The following is a 25,673-nucleotide window of genomic DNA, read 5'->3' as shown; positions in this document are numbered from 1 at the left end:
ATTTAACATCGGGTAGGGGACTCCAACTGGGTCCAGCTAAGCCACTCTGCAACAGTGATTCTCAACACTCACTGTGCATTAAAATCACGTGGGAAGTTTTAGAAACTTTTCCTGGCCTGGGCTCCACTCTCAGAGAATCTCATTCAATTGGTCTGGTTTAAAGCCTGAGCATCTATATTTTTTAATGTTTTCCAGGTGATTCTAATGAACAGCAAAAGTTGAGAATCATTGCTGTACAGTGAAACTCAGGGCAAGACTCATCCATAGGTACAGAGTTTTTCACCAGCTTTTAAATGTTCTGTCCACTGATAGTCAACAGACAATTGAGAAGAGCAGTTAATAATAAAGATGTGGACGTCTTAGTCTATTTTCTACTGCTATAACAGAATGCCTGACGCTGGGTAATTTACAAAGAAAAACATTTCTCTGAAGGCTGAAAAGTCCAAAATTAAGGCGCCAGCATTTGATGAGGGCCTTCTTGCCACATCCTTATATGGAAGAAGAGTGAGAGAGGATGAACATTGTGTCCTCATATGGCAGAAGAGTGAAAGAGAGGGAACACATTCTTGCAAGCCCCTTATATAGTGACATTCATTCATTCATGATGGCAGAGCTCTCATGACCTAAGCACCTTCCAAAAAGCCCCACCTCCCAACACTGTTGCACTGGGCATGAAGTTTCCAACACATGCATTTTGGGAGACACATTCAGACCATAGCATGGCCCAAATAAATAAGTAAAAAACAGCAACTTAGCGAAAACAGATTATGTAGTCATAAGAAAACATAGGGGAAAGAACCCAACTATAGTTCATGTTCTTTCTGAGCAAAGGCTATATTGCATTTCTGAAAACAAAAACATGATACCTTTTAGAAAAGGAATATTATAAAAACGTAAAGAGCTCTAGTAATTTAAAATGTTATAAATGAAAAGTTAATAGGAGAGTTAGAAGATTAAAGTTGAAGGAATCTCCCAAAAAGTAGAACAAAAAAAGCCAAAAGATAGAAAGGAAGAGACCCAAATAAGAATTGTGTCCCCTGAAAATTCATGTGTTGAAGCCGTAAAGCCCAGTACCTCAGGACGTGACTGTATTTGGAGACAGGGCCTTTAAAGAGATTAGGTTAAAATGAGGCCATTAGGGTGAGCCTTATTGCTATCCAACTTAGGTCCTTATTAGAAGAGAAAATTCGGACATACAAAGAGACATGAGGGATGCAAGGGCATCCTAGAAAGACCATGTGAGGACACAGAAGAAAGTAGCCATCTGTAATACAGGGAGAGAGACCTTAGGAGAAACCAAACTTACTGATACCTTGATCTCAGAACTGTGAAAATAAATTTCTGTTGTTTAAGCCACACAGGCTGTCCTATTTTGTTACATTAGTCCTAGAAATCCAATAGATCCAGGAGACTCAATATCCACATAATGGGCATTTTAGAGAATTGTAATAGAAAAAAAAATGGAGCAAAGAAAATAGTAACAGAAATAATGCAAGTAACTTTTCTGGACCTGAACATGTATTTCCAGATGGAATGACCCATTATGTCCTGAGAACAATGGGCAAAAACAGGTACTTACCAAGGCACATTATTTTTTAAAGTCAGAGCTATAAATATAAACAGAAGATTTTACAGACCTTCAGCAAGAAGAAAAAAAGACACAAAGGGTCAAGAATAGAGTAGCTCCAAACTTCTTAGCTACACTGGAAGCAAAAAGTAAAAAGAAAGATTAATAATCTGAAAATTCTGAAGGAAAAACATAGAATTGATTCTGTATATCCAAGGTCTCAAAAAATTGCCTCCTCTGGACCCTTTCTAAGGAAGCTGTTGGAAAATGTATTCTAGGGAAATAAGGCCATAAAAGAAAATAAAAAAACTGTTTATCTTCTGGAATGATTGCCTAGATGATAGTTTATTATTCAATTGATCTAGAGATGAAAATAGGAAAAAAGGAAATTCAAATCAAGAAAGAAGCAAAAGGAATTCCAAGCTGGTGGTGAAGGAAGGGCCCCAATACAACGTTACTAGAGAGCCACCAGTCCAAATGACAACAATAGGTCTGGAGGCTCAGAAACATCGAGTTCTTCAAATGAAACATAAAGTTCTTCAAAGATGGAAATCATTAGATTAACTAATGTGTTGAATATCTGGAGAGGAAACTCACTCATCTGGGGTAGAATTTAGGGTTAAATTAATGATAAAGCACAGAGAAAACTATGCAAAGAATCCAGACTAATATTGACATGAAATGTGCATGGAAGATCAAACTGTCATTTCTTCATACATAACTGCATTTACATGGTCAAAATAATGTAAATACAATATAACCACTTACACAATGTATATTGGGAAGATAGAAGGTAACATAGAAGGGTGTGTGTGTATGCTCATGTTTGTGGTTGGGTCAGAAGCAAGGGGTAGAATGACAAGGTAATTAAACAGAGCAAATCCTCATCTACCATAGTGGAGTGTCAAAAAGACAGTGCCTAAATCCAAAACTTTAAAAATATAGGTCAGATGCAGTGGCTCACGCCTGTAATCCCAGCACTTTGGGAGGCCGAGGCGGGCGGATCATGAGGTCAAGAGATCGAGACCATACTGGCCAATACGGTGAAACCCCGTCTCTACTAAAAATACAAAAATTAGCTGGGCGTGGTGGTGTGCACCTGTAGTCCCAGCTACTCAGGAGGCTGAGGCAGGAAAATCACTTGAACCCGGGAGGTGGAAGTTGTAGTGAGCTGAGATCCTGTCACGGCACTCCAGCCTGGTGACAAAGCGAGACTCAAAAAAAAAAAAAGTACTTGTGTGTGTGTGTGTGTGTGTGTGTGTGTGTGTGTGTGTATTAAGCATGTTATTTTGAGAAATATAGGTAAATACACAAAGAATCTGCAATATGATTAGAAGCGGTTGACTCTGGAGAGCAGAAAATGAACTAGGACTGCAGGCTTTTGTTTTGTTTTGTTTGCAATAAGGCTTGTAGAACACTGGGTTTTTAAGAATATGTGTAAGAGCTATGGGCTCACTCCTATTCATCCTTCAGGACTGATATGGTTTGGCTGTGTCCCCACCCAAATCTCATCTTAAATTGTAGCTCCCATAATTCCCATGTGTCCTGGGTGGGACCAGTGGGAGGTAATTGAATCATGGGGGAGGTCTTTTCTGCGCTGTTCTCATGATAGTGAATAAGTCTCATGAGATCTGATGGCTTTATAAAGGGGAGTTCCCCTACACAAGCTCTCTTGCCTGCTGCCTTGTAAGACATGACTTTGCTCCTCATTTGCCTTCAGTCATGATTGTGAGGCCTCCCCAGCCATGTGGAACTGTGAGTCAATTAAACCTCTTTCCTTTATAAATTAGCCAGTCTTGGATTATGTCTGTACTAGCAGCATGAGAACAGACTAATACAAGGGCTGACCTATTCGTTATTTTATCTAGAAAGCCTTCATTTGCCCTTCCAGATAACCTTCATATTTAGTCTGTTAGCTCCTTTTACTTAATCCTATTATCATTTCTATCATCCAGTGTCATTATTGCTTCTTTACTTGTTTTTTTATCCCCAAAGTATAAGCTTTTTATGAGCTTTTTAGCTTCATTGTCTAGCACAATTCCTAGTACAAAGTCAGAGCTCCATAAATATTTTTCAGGTGAACAATAGCACCTACTAAGCCATATTTCAAGAGCTGTTTTGCTGGGTCTAATTCTGGCTCCACATTGAGACAGTCAGCATATAAATTAACCAATTTGCAGCTCCATGAGTATATTATTGTCCCATTATTCAGGCAGGTCCTGTTAAATTATTAACTTGAATTGTAGTGTAAATAATGCTACTTTAAATCTCTCCTGGCATGTTATAACCAGTACCTAGAAAAGGTGCAGTAGCATTCCCTCCAGGGTTGGGGACTGGACCATGGGAGGCTTTTAGGAGGCTCATTGGATCCTCTAAAATTTAATGCAAAATTTCATGTGCATAGGCATTTTTCACAATTTCTATTAAGATTAAGAAAGGGATAAATTACCCCTCAAAATTTAAACACCACTGCTCAGGGCAATAATAGCTTACATCTTACCTTGTGCCATTCTTTAGAGAAACAAAAGCTCTTTACGTATTTTATCATCTAAAAACCCTGAAACATAGAAATGGAAAATCGATTATTCTAGACAGGTTAATACACAAACAACAGCTCAACTATGTGATTTTAATTAATCAGGAATAGAACTAGGACTAAAAGAAAAAGTGTCCCATATCTAAAAGCAGGCTTGATAAACTGTACACAGAATTCTTACAAATCTTAGACGAATACTGCCTCATAATTTTAGGGAAAATAACTTTTAATGTTCAAATTACTATATAGAATATCAGAAAATAAATTTAGGGATTAAGTAAGTATTCTTTTGGATCGCTGGAAAATAATATGTAAGTTCAAGTCTTGCTTTTGGTTACAGAAATATAATTCAAAATGAGAAGCAATGGAGTAGGAGCTAATTTCAGAGAGAACCTAATCTTTAGTTTTATTCAGTGCATGGTTCATGTTTTCCATTAATAAAGATGTGTGGTGTTTAAATATGCACAATGAACTAGAATATTATAAATGTGAAATGAGGTTAATTTCATTGAGCTTGCTACCTTGGTTAGTCTAAATGAAAATGAATTCACTGGCATGAGACTAGAATGTACCTGAACCACGGATGAAAAATAAGTTAATCCGTTCATCAGTGTGGTATTAAAAGATGAGAAAGAATTTTTGAGGGAGTAGAGAGTGACAGATGACGGACACTATACAAATTGTTCAAACAATTCCCAGAATGTCATTAAATAAGAAATGTCTATTCCTTTTTTGGAACATTAAATAATATGCTCAAGAAGCATTTGTTTTGCCTTGTTAAAACTTGGTGCTTTGAAACACCCTTCAGCATATCAACTTCCAGTCCACCTGGATAGTTTCCTTAATTTGGGAAATGATAAAACACAAAGGGAAAACAATGTTCCTTAATATAGGAGGGGCATAGAGCTGGGATCCAGCTCCGATTTATTTTATTACCAATGCAAGCGAGACTGAAACATCTGGTTTGCATTGGTAATATAATTTAGTGAGGAGGTAGAAGCACATTACTAGGTATCATCACAGTAATGTATTTCTGAAGAGTACTGTAAACAAAGCTTTTTAATAAAAAATAGACAACAACATCAGCTCAAGTCATGCAAAGGTAAACTGCTCATTCCTTAGCAATAGCAAAATACTAAGTGAGGCGACAGCACTATTAAGAATAGAGAATGGAGCACCCTGGTTTTAAACAATAATTCTTGATATGGGAAAACTTGCTTCCAAACTTAGATAAAATGATCCCACAAATTCCTCCTTCTCCTTCTCTTCTTCCTCCTCGTCCCCTTACGATTCCTCTTCCTATTTTTGTTGTTGTTGTTAATCTGGAGCAAAACTGAAACCAGAACTTTTCAGGGGCAGCGGTGTGGGTAAGGGTCCTATGTATCACTGAAGAACCAGTTCAAATATCACCTGTTCCAGGTGTACACACCAACTGGTTGTTTATGCCTGTCTGAACACATTCTATTCATTATTATAACTAAATCACACTTTGCTGTGTAATTGCCTCTTTATGTATCAGTCTCTGTGACTGCTCTGCAAGTTCCTAAGAGGTGGAGGCCAAAACTTGTTTTTGGCACCTAGCAAGCCCTCAAATTTTTACAGAAAAACAGGATGATAATAATATGCTATCTCTTGTGGCCTTATCTGATTGACAGATGGTTGATAAAGTGAACTGCATCATGCTTAGATCTATTTACTATTTAATAAATGCTATTTAATAAGTACTATTTAGTAAATGCTTAGATCTATTTACTATTTAATAAATATTGTAGATCGTTAACCTAATGGGAACTTTACATTACTCAATCTCAAAACCTGTTGCTAACTCTGTGCTGGCTCTTTTGCCCTACTGTGTATCTCAACTCTATCCATTTTAAGAGCAAATAGAGGAAAAACCATAGAAATTAGAATGTCAAAGGAGATGGGAAATTTAGAAAATATAAGACTTAAATGAGAGAAAAGAAATTTAAGATGGTTAAAAATACACATATCACTATTTTCTATTTGAGGTCCCACTCAGAAAGTCACAAAATATTGACTCTAAGACTCCTATTTTTAATTGCAATATATAGAATGATTAACAAATAAATCAATGAAACTCAAAAATGTAATAACCCAACAGTACAAAAGGTGATCTATCAGCCACTCCTAAATCTTCCTTATGTTGGAATTATCTAAATTCTAAATTGAATTTTTAAGTCAAGACTTTGATATTTTTCTAAATAGATATTTTTCTAGACAATTATCTTCATCTTGAATGACTTATCTCTTGATTAGGATTTTATTCTATGAAGCTTAAGCTCTACCTAAATTTATTCTCTATCTTCACAGATATATTATTCCTAAAATTGTCTGTAAATATTTGAACTAGTCACGCTTTTCACAATGGAACTGACAGCAAATTGTCACTTGAGACTTAGAAGCTGCCATTCTATCTTAATGCTGTGGAATGTTTTGCTGCCAACTCCCTCAAAATAACAAAAATTTGCGGTTTACAATTGTTCTGGGAACTATACTAATCTATTAGACATGAAAAGTCACTTTCACTACACTTTAAAAACAGTATAGACATTCTTAACACTACATAGTAATATTAATAATGCTATGCTTCATTTACTGGTCTTTTTAAATCTTATATCAATTCATTTTATGGAGCAATCCAACTGTTTTTGTCATTCTTGGCAGTGTGTCTATTTTTAAAAAGGTAGCCTCAAATTCAACAAACTATAGCAATCTATATCTTTCTAAATAAGACAAAAATAAAACTAAATATAATTTATTTTTTTTCTGAAAATATCTCTACTAGTTTCCTTTGATTGCCTCTTCCTTCTAAACTTGCATTACTGCATTTCAAGTGTGGAATTTACAGAGAATCTAGGCCAGGCGTAGTGGCTCATGCCTGTAATCCCAGCACTTTGGGACTAGCAGACTGCTTGAGCCCAGGAGTTCAAGACCAGCCTGGGCAACATGATGAAACCCCGTCTCTATAAAAAATTACAAAAATTAGCTGGGCATGGTGATGTGCCCCTGTAGCCCCAGTTATTCAGGAGGCTGAGGCAGGAGAATTGCTTAAGCCCAAGAGGCAGAAGTTGTAGTGAGCTGAGATTGCACCTCTGCTACTCCAGCCTGGGTGACAGAGTGAGACCCTGTCTCATAATTAATTAATTAATTAATTAATTACTAAAGAATTTATGGAGAGTTTGTTTCATAAGCGTTTTTTACTCCCCATATGTTGTTGTTGTTGTTTACCTATTCTATATCAATGACCTTCTTTGTTTTTGTTTTTGTTTTTTTTTTGAGATGGAGTCTTGCTCTGTCACCCAGGCTGGAGTGCAGTGGCGCGATCTCGGCTCTCTGCAACCTCTGCCTCCCAGGTTCAAGCAATTCTCTTGCCTTGGCCTCCTGAGTAGCTGGGATTACAGGCGCCTGCCACCATGCCCAGCTAATTTTTGTATTTTTAGTAGAGATGGGGTTTCACCATGTTGGCCAGGCTGATCTTGAACTCCTGACTGACCTGAGGTGATCCACCCGCCTCGGCCTCCCAAAGTGCTGGGATTACAGATGTAAACCAGCGTCCCTGGCCCAATGTCCTTCTTTATTTAGAAGATTATTGACAGTTTGGACCATGAATTGTCTCCTTTTCTTCCTTAAATGTTTAGTAGACTTCATCAGGAAAATCACTTAGGCTTAGAATTTTCTTTGTGGAGAAGTTTTTGAAAACAAATGCAATTACTTTAATAGAAAAAAGATTATTCAGAATTTCTTTTTGATCTTGTGTTAGTTTTGGTAAGTTATATTTTTCAAAGACTATCCATTTCATCTAAGTTGTCAAATTTATTGGCATATAGTCGTTCATAATTTTTTTTATATTTTAGCCCAGCCTACCCCCCATTATATATAGGAAAATGAGGTCCCAGTGGTGACTTGTATAACTTCCTAGCTCAAACTGGCATGATTTGCTGTTAACTTCTGATGTGCAATACATTGTGTTTACCTATGTGTATGTTTACCTAAATATCCCACAAAATTTTGCATGCCAGATGGTCAAAACTATCACTGGGATAAAAAAAATAGGGCCAACCCAGGAAAATCCTGATCACATAGGTCTTGGATATCCTTGGCTGGAACAATTTAGTATAGCAATAAAAAATACTGGGAGATATTTCAGACCTAGATATGCAAAACTGAAGATCACAGCTACTGCAAATTGCAACATTTTAAAGACGACTTTCTCTTGGAAAGTAATCATTTGGTGATAGACTGCTTATCATCAGTCCCTAGTTGTGATGTTTGTAGTACCATCGTGATGGCAGATGATCACCATCAACTTCTTTTCTTCCTGGCTAAGCATGCCTTACTCCATCAAGAGATAGAGGGCAGAACCTATTCTTCCCTTCTCTTGAATCCGGACTGGCCTTAGTGACTTGCTTGATGTTCTAGGGCTCCCAAACCTAGCTCATAAAAAGCCTTGCAGCTTCTGCCTGGGCCTCTTGCAACACTCATTCTTGGGAAAGCAATTTGCTATATAAGAAGTCAGACAACCCTGAGCTCACCATGCTCTGGAAGCCCTGTGATACTGTTCCAGTCAATTGTTTTGAGCTGGCTGGGCACAGTGGCTCACACAGGTAATCCCAGCACTTTGGGAGGCTGAGGCGGGCGGATCATGAGGTCAGGAGATCGAGACAATCCTGGCTAATACGGTGAAACTCAGTCTCTACTAAAAATACAAAAAAATTAGCCGGGCGTGGTGACAGGCACCTGTAATCCCACCTACTCGGGAGGCTCAGGCAGGCGAATTGCTTGAACCTGGGAGACGGAGGTTCCAATGAGCCGAGATCGTGCCACTGCACTCCAGCCTGGGTGACAAAGCGAGACTCCATCTCAAAAAAATAAAATAAAATAAATTAAATTTAAAAAAAAAAGTTTTGAGCCTAGTCTTCTAGCCATTCCCACCAAGGCACCAGATATGTAAGGGAAGCCATTTTGAATTCTCCAGACCAGCCCATCTGCCAGCTGAATGCCACTAAGTGACTTCAGTCAATGCCATATGAAACAGAAGATGCTTGGCCAGGCACAGTGGCTCACGCCTGTAATCCCAGCACTTTGAGAGGCCGAGGCAGATGGATCACTTGAGGTCAGGAGTTACAGACCAGACTGGCCAATGTGGTGAAACCCTGTCTCTACCAATAAAACAAAAATTAGCTGGGCGTGGTGGCACATGCCTGTAATTCCAGCTACTCAGGAGGCTGAGGCAGGAGAATCGCTTGAACCCAGGAGGTGGAGGTTACAGTGAGCCGAGATCGTGCCACTGCACTCCAGCCTGGGCACCAAGAGCAAAACTCTGTCTCCAAAAACAAAACAAAACAAACAAAAAAAAGAAACAGAAGATGCCAAGCCATGCCTAAATATCTGACCAGGGAAATTGTGAAATATAATAAAATGCTTGTTTTTTTCAACTACTAAGTTTCAGGATTGTTATGCAGAAAAAGATAACCTGAGTGCCATGATTATTTTATAAATGGAGGCAAACATCTTTACCATCTAGCCTTATAGACATTTGTGATATTACAAATTAGTTGGGAAAGAACCTGGAAAAATGCCACTCAAGTCCACCATGCTACATAATATATATCTATATCTAAATCTAGATATAGATATAGATATAGATCCTAAGCAATTCTGTTATCCCCTCCACAGTGACAGAATAGCAATACAAATTCGACAAACTATGAAAGTTCTTGCCAAAACATTTGTTTGAATTTAAGGGTTTTTTTTCCTGATCTTCAGCCAATTCAGACTTATTTTTGTGTTCAAGGTGCTGCAATGAACAGGACTGTCAGATTATTGAATGTCATCTTGAAGAGAAAAGAAAAACATCTTCACATATAAGGAAATATTACAGTTGTAACTTAAGGGTTAAGCTGTAAAGTTTTAGCTGGTAAACATAATGGGCTGGCTCAATTTCAGGATGCTTTGAAATGCATTTATATGATTGAATGAACCTGCAACAGGGGATTTGCTTCTTGAGGAATTCTGTCTTACTGCTGTATTAAAGACCTTTTCACTGGATGCCTACAGAGCCCCATACAACTTAAAAGTTACTTTGAGCTTTGCAACTGTTTTTGCAGAGAATCATTAGCAAAACAACAAAAGTGAGCATATACATAAGAATGCTAAATTTAATCAAGTCTCTAGCGCTTTTTAAACCACCTGGATCATAAATTACTTTTGGTAAAAGCCTAACAACTAATTTGGTTTAGTTAGAACTTATTTAATTGGAAATTATACGTGAAGTAATTGAATGTGTCTATTGTGAGTTTTTAATCTTCCTTTTAATTCTTTAATGCAGAATAATTGTATAGCAACAGAAAATACAGTCAATATCTAAACTCATAGATTCCTTTTCTGCTCAAGGAATGATCATTCTTTTTTTTTTTTTTTAAATAGAAATGGTTGCCATTAAACATTCATCTCCTTGGGGCATATTAAAAATTATTACTAGGCTCAAATGGATGCCATGCTTCTATAAAGCTAGGTCTTTTCATGTTAGCTCTAAAGTGGTGTTGCCAAATTGCTCAGATTACTAGAGAAAATAAAGAGCAGAGTAACTGGAAATTGACTTGAACAACTTAAACTTCCAGCCTTATTTTTAGCTCCAAAGAACAATTTTCAACGTATTTTTCAAATGCCTTAACAAAAGTCATTAACTAGAGTGCACACTTATAAATAAAATGGCTTGTAAATACTAAATTGTATATATATTAAAACTCAATGGTGCTGGGCATGGTGGCTCATGCCTGTAATCCCAGCACTATGGGAGGCCAAGGCAGGTGGATCGCCTGAGGTCAGGAGTTCAAAACCAGCCTGGCCAACATGGTGAAACCCCATCTCTACTAAAAATACAAAAAATTAGTTGGGCATGGTGGCAGGTGCCTCTAATCCCAGCTACTCAGGAGGCTGAGGCAGGAAAATTGCTTGAACCTGGGAGGTGGAGGTTGCAGTGAGCTGAGATCACGCCATTGCACTCCAGCCTAGGCAACAAGAGAGAAACTCTGTCTCAAAAAAATAAAAAAACAAGAAAATAAAAAAAAAACTTTAATGGCTAAATAAGTTCATGACCATGTTAGAGTTCATTTCTCAGAATACACAAAAATCTATGTCATTAGTGGAGTGTCTTGTATTTGGCAATCATGGTCAGTAAATGAGTAGAAAAGCTATCTTATCACTTGAGACTAGTAAAATATAGAGATATTCACTGAGCAGACTAAATTGATTTATGGCTTATACTTGCATTGTGATGCAATAAAAGTTATAATAAAATAAAAACTGGGTTTTTTTAATAGATGTATAGATCAAAAGCCACGTTGTGGACTATTCATATGCATTGTGGAACCTATTTCTCCCACCCATACCTTGGAGGATTAATTAATTCTCTTATCAACAAATACGTAATGGGCATTTGTATTAGTCAGGGTTCTCTAGAGGGACAGAACTAATAGGATAGCTACATATATTATATATATACACACATATATATCTATACATGCATCCATCTATATATATATATATATATATATATATATATATATATATAAAGGAGAGTTTATTAAGTATTAACTCACATGATCACAAGGTTCCACAATAGGCCATCTGCAAGCTGAGGAGCAAGGAAAGCCAGTCCAAGTCCCAAAACTGAAGAACTTGGGAGTCTGATGTTCCAGGGCAGGAAGCACCCAGCACAGGAGAAAGATGTAGGCTGGGAGGCTAGGCAAGTCTAGTCTTTTCATGTTTTTCTGCCTGCTTTATGTTCTAGTTGCTTTGGCAGCTGATTAGATGGTATGCACCAGATTAAGGGTGGGCTTTGGCAACACCCTCACAGACACACCCAGGATCAATACTTTACATCTACCAATCCAATCAAGTTGACACTCAGTATTAACCATCAAAAGTCCACCCCTTGTCAACTTGAACCCATACAAATCTCCTGAGATCATACATAATCTTTAAGTAAAGACAATAATAAGGTCATAATTACTCCTAACATAATACGACTATTCTTTGTACAACCAGAAACGCATCAATCCCCAACCCAAATACTATTACATAAAGTTAACATACTTAAATGCTGATGTGAAGTCAATAAATCTTATGTCCCATGATAAAGGAGAAAGGAAATAAAATGAAGATGTTTTCTTAGTACAAGTGTATACATGCATAAACGTGTTTTTAACAAAAGAAGGAAATATTCATGACAATTGCAGTCCTCGTTTCTGCAGCTGGTCACGTGGTCGTAGCTGGTATTGACAACTACCTTCTTCTACCACCATTCTGTATTCCCTTTGCTTTCAGCAAGCACCTCAGCAGGTCATGGTTTTTTTCCTGGTGGAGTGACCCAAACCTTCATTCCTGAAGGGTCTGGGCTATTTGTAGTCCTGCCTGGATTGGGCTGTTGTAGTTTCCCATTGACCTTAATCACAGGGCATGGTAATATTAAGAGATGCCCTAATGGATCTCCTATATTCTATGTGTACTCTTCCTTACCTCCCTTGTGGAGTAGTCGACAGATTTCATCTTGATAGTCCGGGTCAATCACCCCAGCCAACACTGTAACTCCCTTCTTAGCCTGTTGACTTAAAGGTAGGAGGAGCCCAAGTGTCCAGGTGGCAATCATAACTTCCAGTTTAATGGAATCATTGTGTCTCCAGGTGGCAGCGTTCCTCCCTCTGGAACTAAGACCTCTAGGCCAGCGGAACGTAATGTCACAGTAACAGGGAGCAAAACTTTTGCTAGTGGATCACTAGGGGTGATGGTGAGTGGTGCTACTTCCACTTCCAGCCCTTGATTCCTGGACCCGTGAATCCTGGCTATGGGAGAAACAATACCATATATTGCATGCTGATTCAGAGAATACATGGCTCTCTGGAGAACTTTGCCCCAGCCCTGCAAAGGACTGTCACCTAGTTGGCATTGTAATTGTGACCTTCAACAGGTCATTCCACTGTTCTATCAATCCAGCTGCTTCAGGATGATGAGGAACATGGTAAGACCAGTGAATTCCATGAGCACGAGCCTACTACCACACTTCTTTAGCCATAAAATGAGTGCCTTGGTCAGAGGCAATGCTGTGTGGAATAACATGATGGTGGATAAGGCATTCCGTGAGTCCATAGATGGTAGATGTAATATAGATATAATTGCACATCTGGCCATTTCTCCTTCCATGCAAAGTGTACAACCAGGTGCACTGCTCAAAGTTCTGCCCAGTGGGAAGATTTCCCTTCACCACTGCCCAGTGGGAAGATTTCCCTTCACCACTGTCCTTAAGGGATGTCCTAGAAAGAGGCTATAGTGCTGCAGCTGTCAACTTTCGGGTGGTGCCTGCATTATCACACAGAACCATCTGTGAACCAGGCCCTAGTCTTCTCTTCCTCTGTCAGCTGATTATAGGGAACTCCCCATGAGGCCATCAGTGCAGGCTGGGGGACAGAAGGCAGGGTGGCAGGAGTGGAGACCACGGGCATTTGAGCTTCATACCATTTCTTACTTTCTGGCATTACATACCTTTTTTTTTTTTTTTTTTTTGAAATTTTGGAATTAATTTCTCTCTTTAAGAGAACAGATTTTTTTTTTCCTGGTTGTCTTACTGCTGCAAACCCAGAATATAGAACAATTCTTTCACCAGTAATAAATGCTGTGATGTGATTACCAATACTAAATGACTTGTGCTCCCAGTAATACCGAGCATCAAGTTGATTGGATTGAAGGATGCAAAGTATTGATCCTGGGTGTGTCTGTGAGGGTGTTGCCAAAGGAGATTAACATTTGAGTCAGTGGGCTGGGGAAAGCAGATCCACCCTTAATCTGGATTTTCTGTTGAAATTCCTTTTAAAATTTTCAGTTTTGACATTTTCCTGGATCTGGGTTTTAGAAGCAGTGACTTAGTATTATCATACAAGGTCTGTTGTAACCTAAATTTCTCTAACACTAACCAACCTGCGGCTATAAAGTCATTGCTTCTTTCATTAGTTTGTTTTTTCATTATTTATTTAACAAATAATCAGTGAGTACCTAGTAAGTGAATGGCACAATTATAAACACAAAATATTCAGCAGTGGACAAAACAGACTAAAATTCATGACTCCATCTGCTGATGAAGGATTTCTATACTGCTGCTAACCTCTTCCCTAACCACTTTAAGCCTGAATTGCCATAAGACATCTCTTCTACTCTCATGGTTTGTGCATGGCTGGTGGCCAAGTGGTGGACTGTGGGTCCTCATACAGAATGGGCCCCAGCTTTATATGTCACATGTGGCAATGCCACTTGTGCTCCTAACAAGTTACAAGGTTTAACAGAAGAGTTCTTACACTTTTTATTGACAGTCTTTGTTCTCGAGGCATGAACTGGAGAAACACTTCACTATAACTATCAGTCTATATACAGAGAGCTATCCCGCACCCCAGGCTTTGTTCAGCTTTGTTACAGCATCAAACTCAGAGTGCTTGGCTCTTTCTTCACTTGAATTGCCTTGTCTCCCAAGAAGCACCTCAGCCCAGTTGCAAATCAAATTCTCTCAGTTTACCAATTTCACCAGCTCACTGGACACACTCTGGCCACAGAGTGAATTCCTGCTCAGGGCTACTCAGCCCTCAAACGTGTACTCTTCTGAGGGACTTGACATTCTCCTTCGTCAAACCTACCTGAACCCCCAACAGTGGACACTCAGTCCAAGCTAAGATATTCCAAGAAAGGTTCCACTGACTTTGCCAGATTGCCAAAAGAGTCTGTAAACCAAAAAGTTATAAATCCCTTGTTCGGTCATATAGTGTTGACAGCACCACCCTAGACATTCTGAATTAGAACTCCCAGGAGCAAGGTCTGGAAATCCATATTTTTAGAAGGCTAACAGTAATTCTTTGCATCTGACAAACACTAACTGCCACGTCATTTTAATTCTGTATTTTAAAAATACTGCTTCTGCTGCTTGGTGCCTCTATTAAGTTGACTTAATTTTGTTATTTTGTTAAAGTATTTGTTATTTTCTTTTATAATCTATATTTTTAATTAAGTTTGTTAGAAGTCCAAAAACTTAGTAAGAAATTCAACAATACTTTGTCACTTCTCACAGCTAATATTGGTTCTTGTTTCATAAAACTGCAAAATATTTTAAAAGTTGGCTTAAAACAAAAAGCTCAATTTTGGTACAAAAATAATTCATAATAGTACCTATATTCTAGAAGCATCAAAGTTCAGTGGAGAAAAAGGAAAATTAAGAATTAAAATACATGTATTCTCCTACCTTGGTTGAATTCACTAGGTATGTGCAAATGGGTAAGTCATTTAATCTCATTGGGTATCACTGAAATATTGAACTCATCTGTAAGTAACAGATTTAGAATAGATGATTTTTAGGATCACTGCTAAGTCTAAATGATAATATGGTTCTAAATATCATTAATAGGCAACTGAGAACCAGATGAGATTTTAAAAGTTACTATGTCATAATAGTTATATTTTAATATTAGTAAAAAGCAAATCATGCAACAGAGTGAAATTCAATTGTGAAATTCAAAATGAAGTAAATATAGTCACCAGATCTTAATTATTTTAGTCTTTCCTAAATGCTATGACTATTCTATTAATGTTATTCTCATCCTCAAAATGAAGTTTAGGAAAACTTTAAGTTCCATAATGTTGGGAAATATAACACACATCCTGTTAAAATTCTAGTTTTTTCTTTTATTCCTTGGTTACAATTATGTGTGCATTTTACAAGTAGAAAGTTAGAGTCCCCCAATTAAGATAAACTTCCTACTCTAAAGAAAAAGTTCAGAAGTGTCACTTCCTAAGACTGAAGTCAACAAAACCCATATATCATACAGAAGATTAGTTATCAAAAGGAAGGTTTTCGAGAAGTAACTTCCTACCACATGATTTATAAGTTTATAAATACCTCACTGGTGAAAATAAAGAGCATAGCATCTCTGTATGTCCTTAGGAAAGAATCAAGAAAAATGTGAAATTAACCTGTAAATTATAGTTTAGGGATTATTATCTGTTAGGAAAACATGTTAAAGAAGATGAAGATATAGTGAGTAAAAAGGCAAAAATGGATAAAGTTTTAAAAAAGGAGATTGACATTTCTAAACACTTATCCAAGAGTTGGGGCAGGCGAGATTGAGAGAAAGAATGAGAGGGAAAGAGACAAATATGGAAAAGTCAGTTACAATCTCATCTCAAATTGTAATCCTTGACACGTGGGAGAGGCCTGGTAGGAGGTGATTGGATCATGGGAGCAGATTTCCTTCATGCTGTTCTTATGATAGTGATTGAGTTCTCATGAGATTTGATGGTTTAAAAATGTGTGGCACTTCCTCTCTTCCTCTTTCTCCTGTTCCGCCATGGTAAGACAGGCTTGCTTCCCATTTTTGTCATGATTGTAAGTTTCCCGAGGCCTCCCTGTCATGCTTCCTGTAAAGCCTGCGGAACTGTGAGTCAATTAAACCTCTTTTCTTCATAAATTACCCAGTCTCAGGTAGTTCTTTATAGAAGTGTGAAAAATGGACTACAACAGAATATTTCATTTAAAAAAATTGTGACCAATAACAAGCTAAGCAAGCAACCACGTATTGAGTCCAACGTTTCAAGGTAAATCCAAACACCCCAGGAATACACGGTTTTAGAAACATAATAGTTAGCAAAATCAACTATGTAAATAGGGAAATCTTTTTTTTTTCTTTTTGAGACGGAGACTCACTCTATCACCCAGGCTGGAGTGCAGTGACGTGATCTCGGCTCACTGCAACCTCCGCCTCCCGGGTTCAAGCAATTCTCCTGCCTCAGCCTCCCCAGTAGCTGAGATTACAGGCGCGTACCACCATGCCTGGCTAATTTTTTGTATTTTTAGTAGAGACAGGGTTTCACCGTGTTAGCCAGGATGTTCTCGATCTCCTGACCTCATTATCCGCCCATCTTGGCCTCCCCAAAGTGCTGGGATTACAGGTGTGAACCACCACACCGGGCTGTAAATAGGGAAATCTAAACCACAGTTATCCTTGATCTGCAAGAGTGAAAAAAAATCATCAAATGTTGCCAACACAGACCTAAAAACAAAGAAAAACTTTGAGAGACTTCTTGTGAAAATGTCTACCACAACTATTTCTAAGTTTTCTGTGAACACTCTCTCCCAACCACTTTTCTGTGCCAGCCTCTTTCCCAGGTATTTTGATTTTTTTTAAGCAAAAAATTAAAAAAATGTCCTCGATAGCAAATATTAATAAAAAACCACCCATCTCTCAATGTAAGCAAAGATGTTGACATTCTGGCTAATTAAAATCTCTTATGAGTCTGATTAGAGTGAATTCATTTCCCAAAAGATTGATCATACCTGGTAAACTGTAAAACTACTTTCTGAATATACATATTTAAAGCCTATGTCAAGCAACCACAGGAACTTGCCAATCGCATGCATCACATTAATACTAGCTGGAAGAGCTGTATAGGGGTAACCAGTACAAGGAGTTGTTTTGGAATTAGTGAGAATTAGTTGAGTTTATACCACGTCCCAATATCCCCAAAATTTTATTTTTTAATCAAACATTAGAACTATACCAATTTGTTCTAAAGTCTAATTGAATGGCCCTTGAGAGTGGTTCAATCTTTACCATATTAACATACCAGCAATAAATACTATTTAATTAGGATGCTTAAAAAGAAATGTAAGATATTTGTATAAGTATTATAAAGCTAAATAAATTATCTAGTGAAAGTATCTTAGAGTTTTGGTTACGAGAGGCTGGGAAGGGTAGTGGGGGACAGGGGGTTGGGGGAAGGTGGGGATGGATAATTGGTACAAAGAAAAATAGAAAGAATGAATAAGACTTACTATTTGATGGCAAAATAGAGTAACTATAGTCATAATAACTTAATTTTACATTTTACAATAACTTAAAGAGTGTAGCTGGATTGTTTGTAACTCAAAAGATAAATGCTTGAGGGGGCATATACGCCATTCTCCATGATGTGCTTATTTCACATTGCGTGCCTGTATCAAAACATCTCATGTACCCCATAAATATATACACCTACTATGTTCCCACAAAAATTACAAAATTAAAAACAAAGTATCTTGAACTATTTAGATTTAAAATATGTTATATGGAATATATACATCTCAATTTTCTACTTGGCATAAAGTGAAGCCAAAAAGTTTGGTGGAAATTTTAAAACTCTGTAAATATAATGACCTATGTAGTCAATAGAGACTATACACTCAAATATATAGTCCTACTACTCTTTTCTTTTGTTAGTTGGAGAAGCAGTTGCTTTAAATACAGAAAATAGTATAAAATGTACCTTTTTCAGCAGCCAACAGCTCTCCCTAATTAGGGTGGCCAGATGAAATACACGATGTGTATTTCAGTTAAATTTAAGTTTCAGATAAACAACAAATAATATTTTTAGTATGAATATGTTCCATGCAATGTTTACTTTGCTAAAGCTGACAACTCCATCTCTAACCCCCTTTTGGAATCAATAACTGCTTCCTCTGAATTCTCACAGTACTTTGTTGGTTCTTCTGTTACATAACACATTTCATTTTTCCTTGTTTCATGGTGACTGTAGACATCTGACTCTTCTATAAGACTACCAAACCTTCAAGGGCAGGAACTATATCTAGCTCACTGTTTTGCATATAGTTGGTGCTCACAAATGCCATTTCTTTTGAATTGAATTTAGCATCCTACTACATTGACTCAAGCTAGCCTCTTACTTCAAATAATATAACTGGAAACACTGTCAACTTCTTTTCAGCCCCATTTAGTATTGGTATGCCAATAATATTAGCCAAATTTACTGTTTATCCTCTGTGTGCATTCTACAAAATTGTGTAGGTCACGAGGGCTAGGACTATCTGTTTTATTGACTAGGGCATATTCAAAGACTAACACAATAATCAGGTCATTAAATGTGTACAAGAAATATGTTTTATAAATACTAGGCATTTTACATGTATTATTTCATTTAATCCTCCACAAACCTTATGAGTATTAGTGTGCCCATTTATTGGATGAGAAAAGTAAGAGTCAGAGAGGTTATGAATCTTGCTCACTATTGTTTTGGGAGTGATAAAATAATAACTCTGATTCATAGGCTGTAACGTCTATACTTGAATGATTTTATGATACAATATAAGCAAGTATTGCTGCCTTTTAAAAAATAGACATTCTGTCTCAAACTGAGTCCAAATGTCCTTGAAAAGGTCCTCATAAATGATATCTTTTTCAGCTTTTGGAACTGAGACTTAAAAGTTGGGTAATTTGTTCAAATAAGTGGCAAAGCTTAGAACTGGAATCTAAGTATTGCCTACAGTAAAGCACATGTTCATCCCTGGCACTGTCCTTTCCAAACATTGTTGGTCCCCAACAAACCTCTAAGTTCTTTGAAACTATAGATTGGCATTAAAGGAAAAGTGCTACTTGCTCCATCGCATTTAGGCACTGGTTCATTCATACATTCCAACCAGTGTTTATCTGCTTGCTGTGTTGCCTGGCCTTTTTGTTTTTCTGCCCTGTATTTCTCTCCTTCCGTGAACAACTTTTCCCCAAAACAAATTCTGTGGTTCTATGAGAGATGCTGTTTTCACACTAGGACCCTGTTGAGGGGTTTGGAGTAGTCTGACCATGCTGTTTGATCACAGTACCTCATTCTCTGACCATAGATCATAATGCACTTACATTACTGAATTGGGATACTGAAAATTTTACTAATGAAAAAAGGGAGGCTTGTGGGAATTATTTGCCCACAGTATCACAACCAGTAAATGGTGAGGGAGGACAGGACTCCAACCTTGCCTTAAGTCTGAAGTTAAGCAATGCAAACATTGATACTTGCCTATAAGAAACTAACATGCGCCAGGGCACAGTGGCTCATGCCTGTAATCCCAGCACTTTGGGAGGCTGAGGCAGGCGGATCACAAGGTCAGGAGGTCAAGACCACCCTGGCCAACGTGGTGAAACCCTGTCTCTACTAAAAATATAAAAATTAGTCGGGAGTGGTGGCACATGCCTGTAACCCCAGCTACTTGGGAGGCTGAGGCAGGAGAATCACTTGAACCTGGGAGGCAGAGGTTGCAGTGAGCCAAGATCACACCACAGCACTTCAGCCTGGGCAACAGAGCGAAACTCCATCTCAAATAAAAAAGTAAAAGAGGCCGGGTGTGGTAGCCCACACCTGTAATCCTAGCACTTTGGGAGGCAGAGGCGGGCAGATCACCTGAGGTCAGGAGTTCAAGACCAGCCTGGCCAACATGGTGAAACCCCGTCTCTACTAAAAATACAAAAATTAGCTGGGCGTGGTGGCAAGCACCTGTAATCCCAGCTACTTGGGAGGCTGAGGCAGGAGAATTGCTTGAACCTGGGAGGTGGAGGTTGCAGTGAGCCGAGATCGCGCCACTGCACTCCAGCCTGGGCGGCAGAGTGAGACTCTGACTCAAAAAAAAAAAAAAAGTAAAAGAAAGAAAGAAAAGAAATTAACATGCAATTGAATATGGGGGCATTTTTAGACTTATTCCAACTTTTCAACTGGATGAGTTGTCATAGAAATAAGCAAGGCATGGAATAACCTACAAAAGTATTAGGTAAAAGGTAAAATCTAACTCAGATTCAAAAGTAAGTTGGAGAAAATACAATTATGTGTCCTTAATATCTTAATTTTATGTTGCTACTCTTGTGCCAAAACCTTAGCTATAACCTGTCTATTAATAAAACTATTCTTTCTTCACCCAGAAAATCACCTTATATATAACTGGTTTATTTCCCACTGGTTTAGTTCCTCTAAGATGTCCCAGCAGGAAGCTGGATAAACTGGTCTCAAGCCTGATAGAGAGGCCTGAACTGCAGGTATAAATAGGCAAATTCTTTAAGGCAGTTTTTAAGGTGGAGAAAGAATGATTTTTTTATTAAAAGGTTAAATAGGAAAACAGTAAATATGACAACAACAGGACTCCTCATCTTCTTCAAATCTTGCCCTCTCATGGTACCAAAAAAATGTACTTAAAACTTAAATTCCACCATGTTATTCTTTTGTCTTAGAATCTGACAGTGGTTCTGATCACCCAGAAGATCAGGTCCAAGTTCTTCAGCTCTCACCCAATCCTTATATTACATTTCCAGTACAAACATGGAACACATAGTTCCCTTCATGCACTATGTTTTTTCCTGCCTTATTGCCTTTTATTACAAACATCACTTCTCTCTGTAAAGCTCTCTCCTTTCTCTTCCCACTTTTACCACTCCACTACTGCCATCTGTCTTGCTAGCAACATCTTTTAAGACTTGGTTCAGAAGTTCCTTCCCAACACCACAGGCTGGGGTAGGTATTCCTGCTCTAGACTCATAATATCCAGTTCATGTCTCCATTAGTGCTCTTTCTACATTAATAGTATTATTACCTAAGGTTATATTTTGAGTTCCGTGACAGTGCTTCAATTTTTTACCTCCAGCAAATAGCTTGGTGCCAGGCACATAGTAAGCACTCAGTAGATAATGGCTGAATGAATAAATTCAATTCTTTCAATATGCACTCACCAAATAGTTACTGAACAATTAACTTTTTTTTTTTTCTTTTTCAAACGGAGCCTCACCCTGTTACCCAGGCTGGAGTGCATTGGCGCGATCTCGGCTCACTGCAACCTCCTCCTCCCGGGTTCAAACCATTCTCCTGCCTCAGCCTCCTGAGTAGCTGGGATTATAGGTGCCCGCCACCACGCCCAGCTAATTTTTGTATTTTTAGCAGAGATGGGGTTTCACCATGTTGGCCAGACTGGTCTCCAACGCCTGACCTCAGGTGATCCACCCGCCTCTGCCTCCCACAGTGCTGGGATTACAGGCATGAGCCAACGCTCCGGGCCACACTTTATTAATAATTGCTGTGCCTTGGTGCTAAGGATCAAAACAGAAAATCCTTGCTTTCATGTTTTCAAACTATATAAAGATAATTATATTAATTTCCTATTGCTGCTGAAACAAAACACTTCAAATTTAGTGGCTTAAAACAACTCAAGTTTATTATGTCACAGTTCTGTAGGTCAGAAGTCCAGCAAGAGTTGACTGGTTCCTCTGTTCCAGGTCTCATAAGGGTGAAATCAAGGTGTCAGCTTACCTGAGCTTTTGTCTGGTACCTCTGGGGAAGAGTGTGCTTTCAGTTTTATTTAGGTTGTTGACAGAATTCAACTCCTTGCGGCTGTGTGGCTGAGGTCTCCATTTCCTTGCTGGCTGTCAGTCAGGAGCCGCTCTTGGTTCCCTATGGCAACCTGCATTCCTTGTCAAATTGTTCCTCTCATTATCTTGATCTCTCTGACTTTCGCTTTGCCACATCTGTACTGATTTTAAGGATTTATGTGATTAGATTGGGCCCACAGAGATAATCCAGGATTATTTTCCTTTCTTAAAATCTGTACCCTTAATTACATCTGCAAAAAGTCCCCTTTGCCATGTAAAGTAGCATATTCACAGGTTCTAAGGATTTGGGCATGGGCATTTTTTAGAAGGCCATTCTTCAGCCTACCATGGTGATTATTCTTCTAGAATTATTTTCTGGCATATCCCTCCCTTAGGTGATCTGGAGAGATATCTTGCACCAATATGGCTTAATTTATTTTGGTTATAATGTTAAGTTTTATTTGAACAATAAAGATATTAGCAGCTCTTTTAAAAAGCTATGAACCAGACCAGAAAGGAGTGACTATGGATGTAGAAGAGCTAAAATAGATAAATCAATAATAAACCTTATAAATAGAATGAGCATAGCAAGTAACTGATACAGGGCAATGTGATGTCTCTTTTACCCAGCTTCCAAAGAATATAGCGTTGAACAATTACTGTATTTAGCATTATTTCAAGTATAGATGATTTCCTGAAGGCATTAGTCTGCTATTATACACAAGATAATCTCCAATTTTGCATACTACTGAATTTGTTTGAAATTAAATATAATTCTCTTTTGTCTCAAAACTGCCCAACATCAAAAGAATCATAAATGGGTTTTATTTTCCATTTTTAACTTATCAAACTAGTAATCTAAATGAAACTAAAAATCAATTCAATAATACAGAATTTTAGAGAGTCTACTATTTGTTGGATGTTACGCTAGATCCAGACAATACAGTTTACCTTACGCTCCTTGACTGCAGGAAACTGGCAGGCATATAAACAAATAAATTATAATACTGTGCAGCAAGGGCAATAAGAGAAGTGAGCACAGGTGGAAGGAATGATTCATTCTATGAGTAGTGAGGTAAGATTTTCCTGGCTGAAGGACAAACAAATCTTTAGGAGGACAAGGTGGAAGGGGAGCTAAGCCAACAGCATGACCAAGGCACTAAGTATGAAAAGGAACAAGAGTATCTGGGGAAGTACAGGTGTGGCTGGAGGATAGAGAGTGAGAGGCAAGTGGTGAAAGTAAAGGCTGGAAGGTCAGCAGGGTCAGAACCTATAATTTCATTCGGTATATTCTGTGAAGATGTACAGCCAGCAAAAGCTTTTTAATTCGGGAAAACACGATTGGACTTGCACTTTCAAAAGATTACCGTGGTTGCACAGAAGAGACTGACTGGGTCAGAGGTTAGTTACAGGCTGGAAAACCAGTTTAGATGAAACTGAAGAGCAAGGATGAAAGCCTGAACTAGAGCAGTGGAAATGCGAATGTGGAGCAGAGGAACGATTCAAGAAATTCTGCGGTAAAACTCATCAGACTTCATGACTGATTAAAGGTATGGTGGTAGACAAGGGAGGGAGAGGAAGGATAAGAATGGAGAAGCAGGAATTGGGCGTTATTTGAAAATTTCTGACATGGGAGGAAAATCTGGATATTTAATAACATCTGACTAAATTAGGGGATGAAAGAGCATAAGCGGAGAGGGAATGGTGGTGCTCTCTCCTTGACCATACTTTAGTTAGGCTCCTCTGAGCCCTCTTCCCAACTAGGCCTCATCCTTGGGCCCCTGTCTTAGGCCTGCTGAGTCCAGTTTTAGCAAGAATCTTGCAAAGTCAGTTTAGAGAGTATCTCCTAGCCTTGATAATTGATCATCTCCGCCTGTCTTCAGCAAGAATCTTGTAAGTCACTTTAACAAGAATATCCCCGACCCTTGATATCACTTCTTAGTAATTTTCCATGAACTGACCCCTCAGTCTGCTTGCTGGTTATAAATCCTAGCTGTTTTTGTTGTATTAAAACTTGAGGCCAATCTCTCTCCCCCATGGTGATAGTCATGGCACCTATTGCAATAGTTCTAAATGTCTTCCTTGACATTTTAACAAGTGTCAGAATAATTTTTCTTTAGCAACAAGGAGGAATCTGTCTCAAAAACTAAAGCTCCTTCCACACGCCTGTAAGGCTTAATTGGTGCATACATCTTTTAACTCTCCTGTAGCTAAATAACATGTCTGGCTTATCCACTGCTGGGGTTTACCAGGCATTATGATGTACATAATCCAGACACTGTGTCCCAAGAACATAGCAAGCTGGCTTTCCCTCCTTGATTTAAAAAAATCAAAACAACACAACTATCAGGGTAACATCCACTACATTTGACAGGTCAAAGAATCCCCTTCCTTAAGGACTTTACAATAACCTTACAGGGGGCTAAAGCATACATACCCATGGGTAGTGGGTAAGCCTTGAGAGTACAGTATAAGTCTTGATAACATTTTGAGGTTGATAACTAGTTGAAACTGATCTGTTTTCCCGACCTCAACGTAATTGCAAGGTCACTTCAAGAGGGTAAGGGGCTATTGCAACTACCCAAATTCGCTATTGTAGTATAAAAGCTTTAATTAACAGCATGTATAGGAATGCAAAGCTATGTTCTAATGAAACTTTAAAAAGCAGACACAAATATGAATGTCATATAATTGTCATCTGTCGCAAAACTTTTTTTTTAACCTTTGAAAAATGTGAAACCCATTTTTAGCTCCTAGTACAGCAGAACCTGCGGTGGGCTGGATTTGCCCTGAGGGCTGTAGTTTGCCCCTGTGGTACGTATGAAATGCCACAATTTTAAAAAGATGTGTTACGTGTGGGACCATTTGTGGGGCGGTTTATGCTAACTTCCAATACAGTAATATATGTCAACTCGCTTTTGAGTGACATTTAGTCTGGGTGGCCATGCCCAGGAATGGATATAGAGAAAGGGGCGCGGCCGCGCCGGGCACCACCCTCCAAGAGACTGGTATCGCAGCCCCCAGCTCCAAGGAACTCAGCGCAGGCAGGGGCTTCAGGGACGCGGAGAGGGAGGCTTATCTCTGCTGAAAGGGAATAGCGGCCCGCAAACAAGCAAACCAGGACACTGCTCCGAGGTCCCGCCCAGGAAGGCAAAACGAAGTCCCACCGCTCTCACACCCGGCAACCAACCAAGGCACAGCACGCCCCACCAGCAAGCCACGCCTCGCGCATCACGCACGCACGCACGCACGCACACACGTCTGTCGCGGCTTCCCGCCTTGCGCTCCGTCATGCTCTATTGCGCATATCTCGGGGCGGGGGAGGAACGGAGATTGACAAGGAGGCAGA

At 38.7% G+C, this 25,673-nt stretch overlaps 2 protein-coding genes and 1 long non-coding RNA gene across 3 annotated transcripts in view, besides 1 other annotated feature; 2 read left to right on the top strand and 1 right to left on the bottom strand.

Moving 5' to 3' along the window:
• The window catches only part of THAP5 (THAP domain containing 5), a 28,010-nt gene extending 17,838 nt beyond the window's left edge, over positions 1-10,172 (top strand). Inside the window, exon 4 of the transcript XR_007059987.1 lies at positions 9,919-10,172. The gene's annotated coding sequence lies outside the window, so the exon portion shown is untranslated. The remainder of the gene's footprint in view (positions 1-9,918) is intronic.
• On the bottom strand, positions 22,149-25,456 carry LOC124901722 (uncharacterized). The gene is made up of 2 exons (XR_007060473.1): positions 24,286-25,456; positions 22,149-22,480 (listed from the first exon to the last, which is right to left on the bottom strand). It is a non-coding gene; the product is annotated as an uncharacterized LOC124901722 (long non-coding RNA).
• The window catches only part of PNPLA8 (patatin like domain 8, phospholipase A2), a 57,762-nt gene continuing 55,841 nt past the window's right edge, over positions 23,753-25,673 (top strand). Inside the window, exon 1 of the mRNA NM_001256011.3 lies at positions 23,753-23,874. The gene's annotated coding sequence lies outside the window, so the exon portion shown is untranslated. The remainder of the gene's footprint in view (positions 23,875-25,673) is intronic.
• Positions 25,178-25,517: an enhancer, noted in NCBI's record as "active region_26503". NCBI's record gives its function as "activates an Ori minimal core promoter by ATAC-STARR-seq in GM12878 lymphoblastoid cells {active_cell/tissue: GM12878}" and the evidence as "EXISTENCE:reporter gene assay evidence [ECO:0000049][PMID:35858748]".

This window comes from Homo sapiens, chromosome 7 (assembly GCF_000001405.40).
Source record: "Homo sapiens chromosome 7, GRCh38.p14 Primary Assembly".
NCBI classification, from domain to species: Eukaryota; Metazoa; Chordata; class Mammalia; order Primates; family Hominidae; genus Homo; species Homo sapiens.
The sequence above is the reverse complement of the archived record's forward strand: the minus strand, read 5'-3'. Positions and strand labels throughout refer to the sequence as shown.